This window comes from Homo sapiens, chromosome 4 (genome assembly GCF_000001405.40).
Source record: "Homo sapiens chromosome 4, GRCh38.p14 Primary Assembly".
Taxonomy (NCBI): Eukaryota; Metazoa; Chordata; class Mammalia; order Primates; family Hominidae; genus Homo; species Homo sapiens.
In genome coordinates, this window is record NC_000004.12 from 159,003,715 (window position 1) to 159,019,145 (window position 15,431).

The 15,431-nt window shown below is 41.7% G+C and overlaps 1 protein-coding gene and 1 pseudogene across 5 annotated transcripts in view, besides 3 other annotated features; one reads left to right on the forward strand and one right to left on the reverse strand.

Moving 5' to 3' along the window:
• The window catches only part of SPMIP2 (sperm microtubule inner protein 2), a 189,752-nt gene that overhangs the window by 110,581 nt on the left and 63,740 nt on the right, over positions 1-15,431 (reverse strand). The gene's annotated exons all lie outside the window — the stretch shown is intronic.
• Positions 2,507-3,039: an enhancer, noted in NCBI's record as "OCT4-NANOG hESC enhancer chr4:159927373-159927905 (GRCh37/hg19 assembly coordinates)". NCBI's record gives its function as "activates a minimal SCP1, AML or CMV promoter by ChIP-STARR-seq in naive H9 embryonic stem cells {active_cell/tissue: H9 hESC(naive)}" and the evidence as "EXISTENCE:reporter gene assay evidence [ECO:0000049][PMID:30033119]".
• Positions 3,375-4,163, forward strand: PSME2P3 (proteasome activator subunit 2 pseudogene 3; annotated as a pseudogene).
• Positions 13,833-14,152: an enhancer, noted in NCBI's record as "active region_22087". NCBI's record gives its function as "activates an Ori minimal core promoter by ATAC-STARR-seq in GM12878 lymphoblastoid cells {active_cell/tissue: GM12878}" and the evidence as "EXISTENCE:reporter gene assay evidence [ECO:0000049][PMID:35858748]".
• Positions 14,333-14,402: an enhancer, noted in NCBI's record as "active region_22088". NCBI's record gives its function as "activates an Ori minimal core promoter by ATAC-STARR-seq in GM12878 lymphoblastoid cells {active_cell/tissue: GM12878}" and the evidence as "EXISTENCE:reporter gene assay evidence [ECO:0000049][PMID:35858748]".

Below are 15,431 nucleotides of genomic sequence, written 5' to 3' on the forward strand. Positions count from 1 at the left end.
AAAAGAGAGCTTTAAACCTCCTTCCCATTATCAAGGTAGACAGAAAAATACTCCTCTTTAAAGAGAACACAGCTACTAGAAATGCTAACCATTCAGCTAACAGGGTCAGAATGGTAGCTCAAACTACCATTCCCCAGGACTTAAAAGGCAAAAATAAGAATGCTCTGTGAATGCTGATAGGGACAAGAACATTCTAACCTCGACCAGATAAGAAAATGTTGGACACAGAAAAGGAACTTAGACTGATTCACAGACTTTTGACGAGTCATCACCAGCTGAGTCCATTTTGGGTTTTTTTTGTTGTTGTTTTGTTTTATTTTTTGAGTTGGGGTCTCACTGTTACCCAGGCTGGAGCACAGTGGCGCAATCCTGGATTACTGCAACCTCTACCTCCCGGGTTCAAGTGATCCTTCCACCTCTGCCTCCCAAGTAGCTGGGACCACAGGTGTGTGCCAACACACCTGGCTAATTTTTTGTTGTATTTTTGGTAGAGACAGGGTTTTGCCATGTTGCCCAGGCCAAGCTGAGTCCATTTTGAAGAGGAATTAGAGATTGTCTGAAGCTACTCTGTGCTCTTTTTTTTTTTTTTTTTTTGAGATGGATTCTCACTCTTTTGCCCAGGCTGGAGTGCAGTGGTGCGATCTCAGCTCACTGCAACCTCCACCTCCCAGGTTCAAGCAATTCTCCTGTGTCAGCCTCCTGAGTAGCTGTGATTACAGGCCCATGACACCACGCCCTACTAATTTTTGTATTTTTAGTAGAGACGGGGTTTTGCCATGTTGGCCAGGCTTGTCTCGAACTCTTGACTTCAGGTAATCTGCCTGCCTTGACCTCCCAAAGTGCTGGGATTACAGACATGATGTATTCATTAGTTTTTTGTTAAATGTTAAAATAATCAAGAGCCATTCTATGAGTTCCTAGATTCCTAGCCTGGGTAGACTTTACCTGATTATAAATAATAATGGGAATTCTGGCACCTAACATGGTTGTTCTATTTTTGCACTGGGTCACAATTTCAATACATTTACTCACTTTGATTAATACACAGTAAGTGTCAAGCTGTTTTTTTTACCATAATTAATTCATTATTATTCATCCTATTAGTTATATGACCTGGTATTAAAGCTACCAGGTCAAGAGTGGTTTTGTTTGTTTGTTTGAGATGGAGTTTTGCTCTTGTTGCCCAGGCTGTTTAATTAATACCTTCTTCCAGAAACTTAGTTTTAAAAAACCATCGGCCAGACACGGTGGCTCACACCTGTAATCCCAGCACTTTGGGAGGTCGAGGCAAGCGGATCATGAGGTCAGGAGTTCGACATCAGCCTGACCAACATGGTGAAACCCCATCTCTACTAAAAATACAAAAATTAGCTGGGCATGGTAGCGCAAGCCTGTAATCCCAGCTGCTCAAGAGGCTGAGGCAGAAGAATCCCTTGAACCCAGGTTGCAGTGAGCCGAGATCGCGCCATTGCACTCCAGCCTGGGTGACAGAGTGAGACTCCGCCTCAAAAAAAAAAAAAAAAAAAATCAACCAGCCTGGCCAACATGGTGAAACCCCATCTCTACTAAAAATACAAAAATTAGCCGGGCATGGTGGTGAGTGTCTGTAATCCCAGCTACTCAGTAGGCTGGGGCAGGATAATTGCTTAAACCTGGGAGGCAGAAGTTGCAGTGAGCCGAGATCACGCCATTGCACCGCAGCCTGGGCAGCAAGAGCGAAACTCCATCTCAAAACAAAACAATAATAACAACAACAAAAAACCATCAACTAGGGTGTTTGGATATATGGATGCTCCCAGATAACATTAATCTGAGTTCTAACAAGTCTCCAGCTGTACTTTCCGATGGAGCAGCCACTAGCCACATGTGTTATTGTGGCTAGCCCAAACTGAGAAGTGCTATAAGTCAAAAGTACACACCCAGAGTTCACATACTTAGTACAAAAGAAAAAATGTAAACATTTTGTTAATAACTTTCAATATTGATTTCATATTGAAATAACTTTGGATTTATTGGATTAAACAAAGTATATTATTAAAGTTATTTGTACCTGTTTTAATTTTTTTTTAAGAGGGAGTTTCACTCTGTTGCCCAGGCTGGAGGGCAGTGGTGCAATCTCGGCTCACTGTAACCTCCATTTCCCAGGTTCGAGTGATTCTCTTGCCTTAGCCTCCTGAGTAGCTGGGTCTATGGGTGTGTGCCACCACGCCCAGCTAATCTTTGTATTTTTAGTAGAGACAGAGTTTCGCCATGTTGGCCAGGCTGGTCTTGAACTTCTCACTTCAAGTGATCCACCTGCCTTGGCCTCCCAAAGGCTGGGGTTACAGGCGTGAGCCACCGCGCCTGACCCTCTTTTAATTTTTTAATGTGGCTGCCAGAAAATGTTCAATTATGTATGTGGCTCGAATTATGTTTCCGTTGAACAGTGTTGGTCTGAAGTTTACAAACTTGTGAAATTCTACAATACTTAAAGCTGGTGGATAATTATAACTGTGGCTCATTAAGATTTGGAAAACTTGTTGCAATATTTGTTAGAGAGGGAGAGGTTTTTAGTGTACATAACTGGCTGAAGAGTCAGACAGAAGCAGTATAGAAGGGTCATTCAGAAGTCCAAAGTGAAACCATCTTAAGCAACCATGTTTACGCGAGATGAAAAGCTAGTGGCTTTAACCTGTGGGAAAATGTACCACACCCTGCCAATGCAATGCAAAGTTCATCTTGTTACTCATCCCTGAAACCTGCCCCCCAGCTTTCTATAGCTAATTGCTCACAGTTGGATCCCTTTTAAAGTGAGATTACACTCCCTACAGGATATGTTGTACATGCTGACAGCCAAGTTTCCAAGGTTTTCATTCAACCTAATACTCATTTTTGGTCATATTACGGCTTTGAGCAAAATGCTGAACATGAAGAAGCTGAATTGAAGATGATACTAAGTGGTGACAGATAGTAATCCCCAGGATGCATCTTGGTTGTATCAAAGAGATACAAAAGAAACTTAAAGACAGAGGTTTTAAAGTCAGAGCAATCATAGATTGCCAATAACTTACTAATAATATGTAAATTTAAAACATGTCAAACACAGGTAGGACAACCTCAGGGAAGCATAGAAATCAGGGAGTCAAAGTGGCAAGCATTGATAATGTTCACCCACCACAAACGAGGGCTGAGGGTCCTCCCTTTGAGAGGCAAAGCTCAAAAGAGAAGGGTTAGGATTGGTCAAGTTATTACAGTTTATGGCCATTAAGCCAATGTTTAACATTGTTTTCCCTAGAATGCCAGTGTTGTTCTAATATTGTCCTGTGAAAGTTTTGATGCCGGCAGTATTTTCTTCTAAAATGTATTTAAAATATATTGAAGCATACGGTAATTAGGAGGCCAGAGATCTAGCAACTGAAGCAGCATATGGCCAAGCCGTGTGGGGTGCGCCTGAGACGGGAGGCCTGTAAACAGGTGGAGATCTTCAGGCAGAATCTTTTCCAGGAGGCTGAGGAATTCCTCTACAGATTCTTGCCACAGAAAATCATATACTTGAATCAGCTCTTGCAAGGTACTGCCTCAATGTGGCTGACCTGACTTCCCTCCGGGCCCCACTGGACATCTCATCCCAGGCCCTCCACCCAAGGATGATGAGATGGAAACAGATAAGCAGGAGATGAAAGAAGTCCCTAAGAGTGGATTTCTCCCTAGGAATGAGAAGGTCCTGTTCCTGCTTGCCCTGGTTAAGCCAGGAGTCTGTAGTCTCAAAGAGAAATGCATTCTAGTGATCACAGGGATCCAGCACCTGATCCTCAAGATTGAAGATGGATGATTTTGGGGTAGCAATCCAGGAGAAGGTGCTGGAGAGGGTGAATGCCGTCAAAAGCAAAGTGGAAGCTTTCCAGACAACCATTTCCAAGTACTTCTCAGAACGTCGGGATGCTGTGGCCAAGGCCTCCAAGGAGACTCATGTAATGGACTACTGGGTCTTGGTGCACCAGCGAGATGAGGCAGCCTATGGGGAGCTCAGGGCCATGGTGCTGGACTTCGGGGCCTTCTACGCTGAGGTTTAACATATCAGCAGCAGCAACCTGGAGAAAATTGTCAACCCGAAGGGTGAAGAGAAGCCATCTATGCACTGAATCCAGGACTAGAAGGAAAATAAATGACCTATATGTTGTGTGTGGGAAAAAAAAGAATATGGTAATTACATAATAACAATGTAGTTATCAGTAAAATGTCTTTAAGAAATGGTATATTTCACCTGGCACAGTGGCATGCGCCTGTAGTCCCAGCTACTTGGGAGGCTGGGGTGGGAGGATTTCTTGAGCCTAGGAGCTCAAGTCCAGCCTGGGCAACATACTGAGAACTCTCTCTAAAATAAATAAGTAGATACAGTACAAAATTTTTAAAAAGAAATGCTACATGTGAGGTTTCTAGGACATTACCTATGAGATCATCTGATACATGCCAGCCTCTTTCATATACATATTGATACCTCAGTTTCATATACCTGTTATTGTGACTTCAGATTTTATCTGTAAGGTGGAGGATAACATATCTACATCACAGAGTTTTGTAAGAATTGAGATAATTCGGTCGGGCATGGTGGCTCATGCCTGTAATCCCAGCACTTTAGGAGGCCAAGGCGGGTGGATCACCTGAGGTCAGGGGTTCGAGACCAGCCTGACCAACATGGTGAAACCCCATCTCTACTAAAAATGCAAAAATTAGGTGTGGTGGCACACGCCTATAATCCCAGCAACTCAGGAGGCTAAGGCAGGAGAATCACTTGAACCCGGGAGGCGGAGGTTGCAGTGAACCAAGATCGTGCCACTGCACTCCAGCCTGGGCAACAGAATAAGACTCTGTCTCAAAAGAAAAAAAAATTGAGATAATTCATGTAAAGAATTATGACAGCGCCCATTTTAAGCAGCTGGTAAATGTTAGATGATGATGAACTAGTATTGTACATATATTTAATGATCACTATGTTCATTTTCATGTTATAATTTTAATACACATTTATAAAGTGGATCAGATGTTGACTATTCTTAAATAATTAGTAAATAAAACAATATTGCATTGTCTTTTAAATCCAAGAATACACTTCATTTCATGAATTCCATTCCTGTTAAGCCCTTTTAACACATTATAATTGAAAAAATATTGCTGTGGTTATGTAGCCAGGACTCAAGCAGCATTAAGTAAAACCATGAATGAAGTGAATTTGAGAAACATTGTATTAGACATTCGATCATCCAATATTTTCATTCTGCTTTGAGTCTATAGCAGTGGTTTATTGGGCTCTCAAGAGAAAAAGCTATGGTTTTAGCATTTACCAGTTTCTGTGGTATAAACATTTCCAACATGGTCAATGTCAAACTATTGTGTGATGTCACTGAATGCAAAGTTGGAAAGAGATGCTAATAATTGGTTCTCTCAAGAAGGTACAAACAGGCTCCCAAACACCACTCAAATAAATACTTTGCATGATTATAGCATGGCTTCTCATACAGTGTTCATTCATTCATTATACCAATGGTTCTGCAAATGTGATCCCCTGACCGACAGCATAAGCATCATTGGGGAACTTATTAAAAATGCAAAATCTCAGGGCCCACCTTATATCTCCTAAAACAGAAACCATGAAAATGAGGCTTAGCAATCTGTCTTAACAATCCCTCCAAGTGATTCTGATGCATCATGTTTGAGGACCCCTGCCCTATGCTCTTGCTGTTGTTTCTGAAGGGGAAGAAGTGCCAAGTAACTTCTAACATTTATTAATTAATGTACCAAGACTAGCAATGTTGGCATTCTCATTCTTCAAAGCATCTAATTATGGACTCTGAAATTGCAATTTATATATTCCTAGAATCAACAAAGGACACCAAGCTGCTGCTCTTTTGCATGGAAAGGTAATCTTATCTTCAAATGTCCCCATGTTTCCGTTGCTATTGAGAGGCTCTCATAAGGGTTAGTTAAGAGTTCTACTGGCTTGGCTTAGTGACTCATGCCTGTAATCCTAGCACTTAGGGAGGCCATGGTGGGCAGATCCCTTGGGCCCAGGGGTTTGAGACTAGCCTGGACAATATGGCAAAACCTTATCTCTGTTAATAAAAAAAAATGCAAAATTACAAAAATTAGCCCGACACAGTGGTGTACGCCTATAGTCCCAGCTACTTGGGAGGCTGAGGTGGGCGGATCACTTGAGTCCAGGAGGTTGGGAGGTCGAAGCTGCAGTGAGTTTTGATTGCGCCATTGTGCTCCAGCCTGGATGACAGAGGAGACTTTGTCACAAAAAAACAAAAACAAAAACAAAAAACAAAAACTACTCCTTGTGATTTCTGGTTGCTTCTGCAGCAGAGACCATGGGCAAAATCCCGGTGCTGAAATAAACATATGCCCTGATGTATTAGTGGACACGTTGTTAATCTACTTTGTATGGCTGGTTGGTTGTTTGAAAATCACATAAATACAGCCCTAAATTCAGTTATACTGTACACAGTATTGGCAGAGATACATGGTTTCCAGGATGTTCTAAGGGAGCTTTGGATAGGTGCAGCCTTCAGAGGTCAGCAGGTATGACCTTGCACTCTATGTGGGCTCCCCTTCACAGCACGTGTTCATCCAACTGACAAAATATTTCCAGTAACAAAAGCACATTCTATTTTTGGACAGGTCTAATTATTCTTCCATACATTGAACTAAAATCTGCCTTCCTGTAACAGTCACACAGTAGTCTGAATTCTGAATTCTGGTAAAGAATCCCCGTCTCATTGAAATAGCCCATGAGATCCCAGGAAAGGGTCACTTTAGGCTCTTTTGCAAATTAGGCTTCCCCACTTCTTTCAGGCGTTCATGTAACAACATTCCCAGGCTCTGCACCACTCTGCCTCTTGATGCTCTTCAATTTATTAACATCTGGCTTAAAATGTGGCATGCATAACCAAAAATAATGCTACCATGTGGCCCAATCGGGGCAGCGTTTGTTTCTGGAACACAGCTCTCTGTTAATGCAGCCTGTTATTGTGTCAGCTTTGTTGGCAACTGAGCTAACCTCCGGGCACATCTCCAGTCTGCAGTCAGCTCCACGCTCCACACCAACCTATTGCATAATGTCTTACCTATCCTCTACTTGGATTGTTGATTTTTAAACTCTAAGTGCAAGCTTCATATTTAGTCCTATTAAATTATAACTTTGTGAGTTTCAGACCCAATTCTAAAATAGTAACATCTTTTACAGTCCAAATTGTCATCGAATTTTACTCTCTCTTCTTCCTAGGTTTATATGTTCAGCAAACATAACCACATGATGTCTCTCTTTGTATAAAATCCTGAGGAAACTGTTGAACAAAACAGAGCTGATTCCTGTTCCCCTCCCTCACTCAATTATTTACCTCAAAGCTTGAAACTAGAATAAAATGTCCAAGTGAAGTACCAGTTAAATATTGACTTTCACTTGCCAATTTTACTTCAATCTGTCTTTCAACTGAAGTAGCCTGAAAAATGAAAATGTAATCATTCTAAATAATTCTTAGGGAACATATAGAATGCCTAATGGGTATTAAATATTTGAAATATAAATCCCCATTCTTTGATGTGTGCAAAAGGAGGTAGTTAAAGAATAGTATAGAGTAATTAAAAGCTTTTATCATGATCTGGGATTAATTGAAGTATTTAGAGAGTGGTGATGCCATACTGAAAACAACTATTACAACATTTAGGGTTTTGTAATTTTCTCTGGGTTAATTAATGCTTATAAAAATTATTCTGGCTGGACGCGGTGGCTCACGCCTGTAATCCCAGCACTTTGGGAGGCCAAGGTGGGGTGGTTCACCTGAGGTCGGGAGTTCAAGACCATCCTGACTAACATGGAGAAACCCTGTCTCTACTGAAAATACAAAAATACATGCCGGGCATGGTGGCACATGCCTGTTATCCCAGCTACAGGGGAGGCTGAGGCAGGAGAATCGCTTGAACCTGGGAGGCGGAGGTTGTGTTGAGCCAAGATTGCACCATTGCACTCCAGCCCGGGCAACAAGATCGAAACTCCATCCCAAAAAAAAAAAAAAAATTATTCTGAGCAGGCTTGGTGGCTCATGCCTGTAATCCCAGCACTTTGGGAGGCCAGGGTGGGTGGATTACCTGAGGTAAGGAGTTTGAGACCAGCCTGGCCAACATGGTGAAACCCCGTCTCTACTAAAAAAAATACAAAAATTAGCTGGGCGTGGTGGTGTGCACCTGTAATACTTAGGAGGCTGAGGCAGGAGAATCACTTGAACCCAGAAGGCAGAGGTTGCAGTGAGCCAAGATCACACGATTATACTCCAGCCTGGGTGACAGAGCAAGACTCTGTCTCAAAAAAAAAAAAAAAAATTATTCCTCAAATGGCTTCTTAAATCTATAAAAATTGAAAATAATTATAAAGAAAAAATTTAAAGCCAAGAACAGTAGTTCCATGACTTGGAAGGCTGAGGTAGGAGGATCACTTGAGCCCAGGAGTTCAAGACCAACCAGGGCAACATAGTGAGACCCTAGCTCTATTAAAACAAAATTTTAAGATATCTTACTTAGCACAGAGTATTGGCACTTAGAGATCATGGGCTATGTGAAGAAATATATTCCTAAACTTGATGTATGAGCTACATGATTACGTGTAATGTGGAGTTGAAAACAAATAACATCATGATCGAAAATACCATAATTCAATTCAGAGGATGTGGGCTGAGATGATACCTGATCTGATACCTTCACAGCACCCAGAGAGGAAAGATCAGAAAATGTGTTTTCAATAGACATGGTGAGAACACTGCTAGGGAAGGAGTGGCAGCATTTTTAACATGAATAACCTTAGCTAACCTATCACCACAGTATGTTGAAATAATTTTTTTTTTTTAGAGGATCTCACTCTGTCATCCACACTGGAGTGCAGTGGTGCCATCACGACTCACTGCAGCCTCAATCTCGTGGGCTCAAATGATCCTCCCACCTCAGCTTCCCGAGTAGCTGGGACTACAGGCCCTCAACACCATGCCCAGCTAAATTTTTTTTATTTTTGTAGAGATGAGGTTTCACTATGTTCCTCAGGGTGGTCTCGAACTCCTGGGCTCAAGTGATCCTCCCACCTCGGCCTCCCAAATTGCAGGGATTATAGGCATGAGCCACTGCACCTGGCCAATTTTTGATCAAGTTATGCTGATACAAAATAGCACTGAGGATCCTGCTTAATTAGATTTCCACTTCAAAAGCAATGTTGTGTATTTGTTACATCACTGCTTACAGGAAAGCAAATTAACTTTACATGTTTGAATATGTTGTCAACAGTCCCACGTCTACGATCATTCCCCAGTGGCCACAGGTTCTTCACAGTAACCAAAGTATATTTAAATGCTTTAAAAATGAGAAATAAAGTGAAATGGGAACCCTGTATGTTGCTGGTGAAAATGTAAAATGGTGCAGCTGCTGCAGGAAAAGGTATGGTGATTCCTCAAAAACTTAAACAGAGAAATGCCATGAGATCCAGCCATCCCAGTTCTGGGTATATACCCAAAAGAAGTGAAAGCAGGGACTCAGGTATTTGTACACACATGTTAATAGCAGCATTATTCACAATAGCCAAGAGGTACAGAGGCAACTCAAGTGTGGTGTATACATATGTATCAGTTCCCTAGGGCTGCCATAAGAAAATACCACAGACTGGGTGGCTTAAACAACAGAAATTTATCTTCTCACAGTTACGGAGCCTGAAATCTAAAATCAAGTTGCTGTTAGGGTTGGTGACTGGTGAGCCCCTCTTCCTGTCTGGTAGGAGCCCACCTTCCTGTCATGTCCTCAAATGGCTTTTCCTCTGTACAGGTGAAGACAGAGAGAGGAAGGCCTGATGCCCCTTCCTCTTCTTATAAGGATACCAGTTTCATGAGATTATTTCAGCACCTCATTTAACCTCAGTTACCTTCTAAAGGGCTGGCCTCCAAGTACGGTCACACTGAGGGGTTGGGGCTTCAACATATGAATTGGGGGGTGGGGATAAAAATTCAGATCATAACAACATACAATGCAATATTATTTAGTCTTAAAAGGGAAGGAAATTGAGACACATGCTGTGATATAAATGAAGCTTGAGGACATAATACTAAGTCCAATAAGCCAGTCACAAAAAGACAAATACTGCATGATTTCACTTAATGAGGTCCTGAGTAAATTTACTGGGACAGAGAGTAGAGTAGTGGTTGCCAGAGGCTAGGGGAAGGGGAGAATGGAGAGTGAGTGTTTAATAGGTACAGAGGTTCTGTTTTACAGGATGACAAAATTCTGGAGATGGAAGAGGTGATAGTTGCAAGCAATGTGAATATACTTAATGCCACAGGATTGTCCACTTTAAAATAGTTAAAAGGTAAATTCTGTTATGTTTATAAAAGAAAAGAATGAGAAAAGCACTCCAACATTAAACCATTCATGTTTTAATATGCAGCCCAGGGCCAGGTGCGGTGTCTCACGCCTGTAATCTCAGCACTTTGGGAGGCCGAAGTGGGCGGATCACAAGGTCAGGAAATGGAGACCAGCCTGGCCAACATGGTCAAACTCCGTCTCTACTAAAAATACAAAAATTAGCTGGATGTGGTGGCTGGCGCCTATAGTCTCAGCTACTCAGGAGGCTGAGGCAGGAGAATCGCTTGAACCCAGGAGGCAGAGGTTGCAGTGAGCTGAGGTCGCACCACCGCACTCCAGGCTGGGCGAAAGGGCAAGACTCTGTCTCAAAAAAAATTGCAGCCCCAAATGCTACTCACTGTAAGTGGATGTATCCCTTCTGAAACAAATTTTTTTTTTATTATACTTTAAGTTTTAGGGTACATGTGCACATTGTGCAGGTTAGTTACATATGTATACAAATTTAAACACACACACCATGCTGCCATGATGTGCTGTCAGTCTCTCAGCCACTAGCCTAAAAGTCTGCATTTTATGCTTTTTCTCCATATTGGCTTTTCCAATGTGTCAGATGGGTATTTCGTCATTTATGTCAGGGGTTCCAATTTTTTGGCTTCCCTGGGTTACATTGGAAGAAGAATTATCTCAGGCCACACATAAAATACACTAACACTAACCATAGCTGACGAGCTAAAAAAAAAAAAATTCAAAAACATTTCATGTTTTAAGAAAGCTTACAAATTTGTGTTGGGTCACATTCGAAGCCATTCTAGGCTGCATGCAGCCCGTGGGCCACTGGTTGGACAAGCTTGATTTACATGTACCTTTCCATAACTCTTAAATTTTCATTATGCATTGCAACTTAATTTTTTCCATGTGTTATAACTACAGTGATGGTAATAAAATTACATTTTTACTGAATTACAGGAAAATCAGCTTTGGGGTTTCGTAAGTCCTGCAAGACTGTAAATAATTTAACAATATCGTCAGATGTTGACTGACTCTAAACTAGCAGAATTGGAAACTCCCAGATTTATTTTGCCTCTGTCTCTTTCCCTTCCTTGGCTAATATACAAATGCAAGGAATGCCTGTGTCCTAACACACAGTAAATATTTGTGAATAAATGAATATATGTGTGTATTTGCATGTTATGAAAACAATTCCTTTACTGAAGGAAAGGAAAAATGCAGTGCCTCATGCAAACCAGTCATGTGCAGACCTCTAAGCAACATATTTTAGGATAGCATTACATTATTGTAGGAATAGTTCAGTTTTTAAAATACAGATAATAAGTTTATATTTGGAAAGAATTATTTTCAGGTGCAGCAAACCATTTAGAAATAAAATTTAATTCAATATAACTTCCTCCCTTTTGAAAAGCAAAAACAAGAAATGCTGGTGCAACTTTCTGAGCATCTGTCCTAATGCCTTTGCACATGTCATATAAAAGTTTCAAGATTTACTAGATCAAGGCAAGAGAAACAGTCTATTCTATTAGAAAAAAGAGAGTTGGAACAAAGAAATTTAGCTTTTACAATGCTTTGTAATTTGTATATAAATATGAATAATATCACTTCTCGGCCTTTTGGCTAAGATAAAGTATAAATATGAATAATATATATTCAAATGCTGACAAAAGATTAAAAACCTAGAATTTTGTGCAATTAGAATGAGTAATGATTATAGCTGTTTAAAATTTATAGTAAGTGCTTAGTATATGTGTGATATTGTGTTGATGGATCAGGAGGTGGCAGAAGGAGAGAAAGCTTGGCCCAGTCCTCAGAAAGCTTATAATGTAGCTAAGAAAAGAGTCTTATGCACTGAATAACTACAGCAAAGCTGGGTGATGCCGCCTTTCACTGAAAAAGAAATTCAGAGAAGGGTGTGGTCAGTCTGTAGTAGTCATGGAAAATGTGGTCCTGAGCAGGACTTACGACAGACTGATGACGTCAACACACAAGTTTTAAAAGTTAGAATTCGTAATTTTAAAAAATACCAGTATACAATCAAATACTTGTGAAACACGGGGATGGGAATCTGTTAAATTTTCCTGTTCTCTGTGTAAGAGACATGAAATGTAAAGCAGATTTCCAAAATCACTGCCAATCTCTATTAATCAGACCATTATGACATCCTATTGATCCATATTAAAAACTTCATAGTTTTCCACGCACTTCAAAAGCTGATTTCTCCTGACAATAGATGAAGAAATTAAAGCTATAACCATGAGCCAATTAGCTGAACTCCCTTTAGCCCACTTATTATACTACTGTTCACAAATGAAAACATAACACTACTTTTGCTCCATCAGGTGTTACTTTTTCATGTTAATTATTACTGGGGAAAATCCAGCAATTTAAAAATTACAGATCATTTTCTAGCTCCCAATTTTCTAGTTAACAAAAATAAAAGGGGATTAAGTTGGTTATTTATTTATTTTTCCTTCTCTCTTAGGGAGGCTTTCTAGATGGCCATCTTTTCTATTTTATTTTTCAACCTTTTCTTTGGTAACCCCTTGTGGTTGCAGCCTAGCTGCTTCAAGCGTGCTTGCCAGCTAAAAAAGGCTAAAGTGGGAGTCTAACTGGGCTTTCAATTTCGCTTTTTTGACAGCAGCCTGCCCCCCACAGGGAGACACTAGGTGAGCCGCAGCTGGGCCACTGGAGAAGGGGGATAAATGCATTCCGTTTCAGTTGTGTGATTCCCTCCCGTTGCTTCCCACAATGCATCTGTAACACTTTTACTTTTCCATTTCTGCTAGAAAGCAAATCTCTGTCTCTTCCAAAGGACAGTGAACATAAGTAACTACCACCCTGGAAAGCTCTGTGGGGAGCGATGAGACGGGAGGGGCCCGGGTGATTAGAGTATGGATTGGAGGGAGCAGGTGGGAGCTGTTTCTCTGAAATCTGCTTCTAGATGTTGCCCTCAGCAGCCCTTTATTAGTGAACAAATAGTATAAATCATTGAGAAAGTAGTAGTAGAGAAATGTTAGATGGGAAAGGAAAAAGGACTCCTTCCCTTTCCGTCAACATACCCTATTCCAGGCAAAGAAAAAGTGAGCAAAAACAGTGTACAATGATAGGTTCCTTCTGCACTGCCTTTTTGTGCTGAGATTATTATTGGCCCAGGTTAAGGATAAACAGTTATCCCGAATGACTCCCTGGATGGAACAGTCAATCAAACTTGTAAGTTAGTGCCTATGAACAGTAAGACAAAACACAAACACAAACACATACACACACACACACACACACACACAGACCTTAGACTGCAAACTTCTCAAGCCCCTGCAAATCAGTTCATTCATTTACTCCTTCCTCCAACAATTTTTTTTTTAAGAGACAGAGTCTCACTTCATTGCCCAAGCTAGAGTGCAGTGGTGCAATCATAGCTCACTACAGCCTTGAACTCCTGGGCTCAAGTGATTCCTCCCACCCCACCTAACACGATCTTTTTAGTGTACTCTGTATTGGGCTGTTTTGGTGTGTCCTGCATGTCCTATCTCCCTATCATTTAAAGCTGGAGCCAAAAAGAGAGTTCCAGAAGTCCTGGTTCCCCAGCTGGAGTTGCCCAAATAGGCCGCTTCACAAGATAGTTTCTGCCTGTGATATACCTAAGTGGATAGGCCACCAACACCAGTGCAGGAAAGTGATTCAGATGCTGGAGAACAAGCAAGAGCTCAGAGCCAAGGAGTCAAGCCAATGTGGGTTTGAGAATGGTAAAGAGGAAGTCTTGGGGCAGCTTATAAGATATACAGGGAGGCAACACAAAGCGAGATGTGGGCTAGAATAAGAATGCATCACACAAATCTAGGACTACTGTGGCTGCTTCAGGAGTGGATTGGGATGCTCCAGACACAGTCAGCGGGCTTTAAACTTGTCCGCCAAGCTGGAACCCATGAGGATTAGTGGAACCCAAGGAGGTCTCTTATCACCCACAAGCCTCCAACACTGATGAAGTGGGTGGTTTGCACTGAAACTGGTGCCTTTCAACATGGGGCTAAACATCACCTGGCCCAGAAGCCAGTGACACTGAAGGAGGAGGCAGGGAAGGAGCTGGAGTTCACTTTGGACGTGGCAGCTGCCTCACTGCAACAGAGGCAGCATATCAGTAACAGCCCACGTGGCTGCAGCAGCCCCTGGGGACTGCTGTTGTATTGAAATGATACGTCTGCTGCTTCACTTCTGCTTTCCAAATTTCCCACAAAATGTCTCTTGTGGCCCAGACAAACCCAAAACTATGTAGGGAAGGGAATCTAGGACATGTAGTCCAATGGGCTCAGCTGACACAGTACGAACCTGCCACAGGCTGTGGCAAGCTCAGTCCAGCTAAGGCACTATGTTGTTTTCTAGTTTGCACTTTACATAATTTCTTTGACTCTAGTGATAGGCAATATGTACTGATTAATGATATAAAACTGGACAAATACCTGGACAGCTTATCACTGAACAAGGCAAAAAAATGTCCAAACTATAAAAAGTGAAAGGAGATTGTATTAATTTTTTTGTCCCTAGGCAAGTATGATGGTTCAGAATGCTGGTCTTGTCCCCCTGGCAAAATTTGAGGTCATCTCTGAATTACTGCAATCAATTTGGGATAAATTCACAGTCTTCTCCTTGGGTTTATAATGAAGTCAACAGGTGGTTTTGATAAAAGTCATCTTTAGTCAAGAAGAATAGCAAATTAGGCTGGGCACAGTGGCTCACGCCTGTAATCCCAGCACTTTGGGAGGCTGTGGCAGGCGGATCACGAGGTCAGGAGATCGTGACCATCCTGGCTAATATGGTGAAACCCCATCTGTACTAAAAATACAAAAAATTAGCTGGGCATGGTGGCGGGCGCCTGTAGTCCCAGCTACTCAGGAGGCTGAGGCAGGAGAATGGCGTGAACCCAGGAGGCGGAGCTTGCGGTGAGCCGAGATCGCGCCACTGGACTCCAGCCTGGGCAAAAGGAGGTCCTGCATGTCCTATCTCCCTATCCTTTAAAGCTGGAGCCAAAAAGAGTGTTCTAGAAGTCCTGGTTC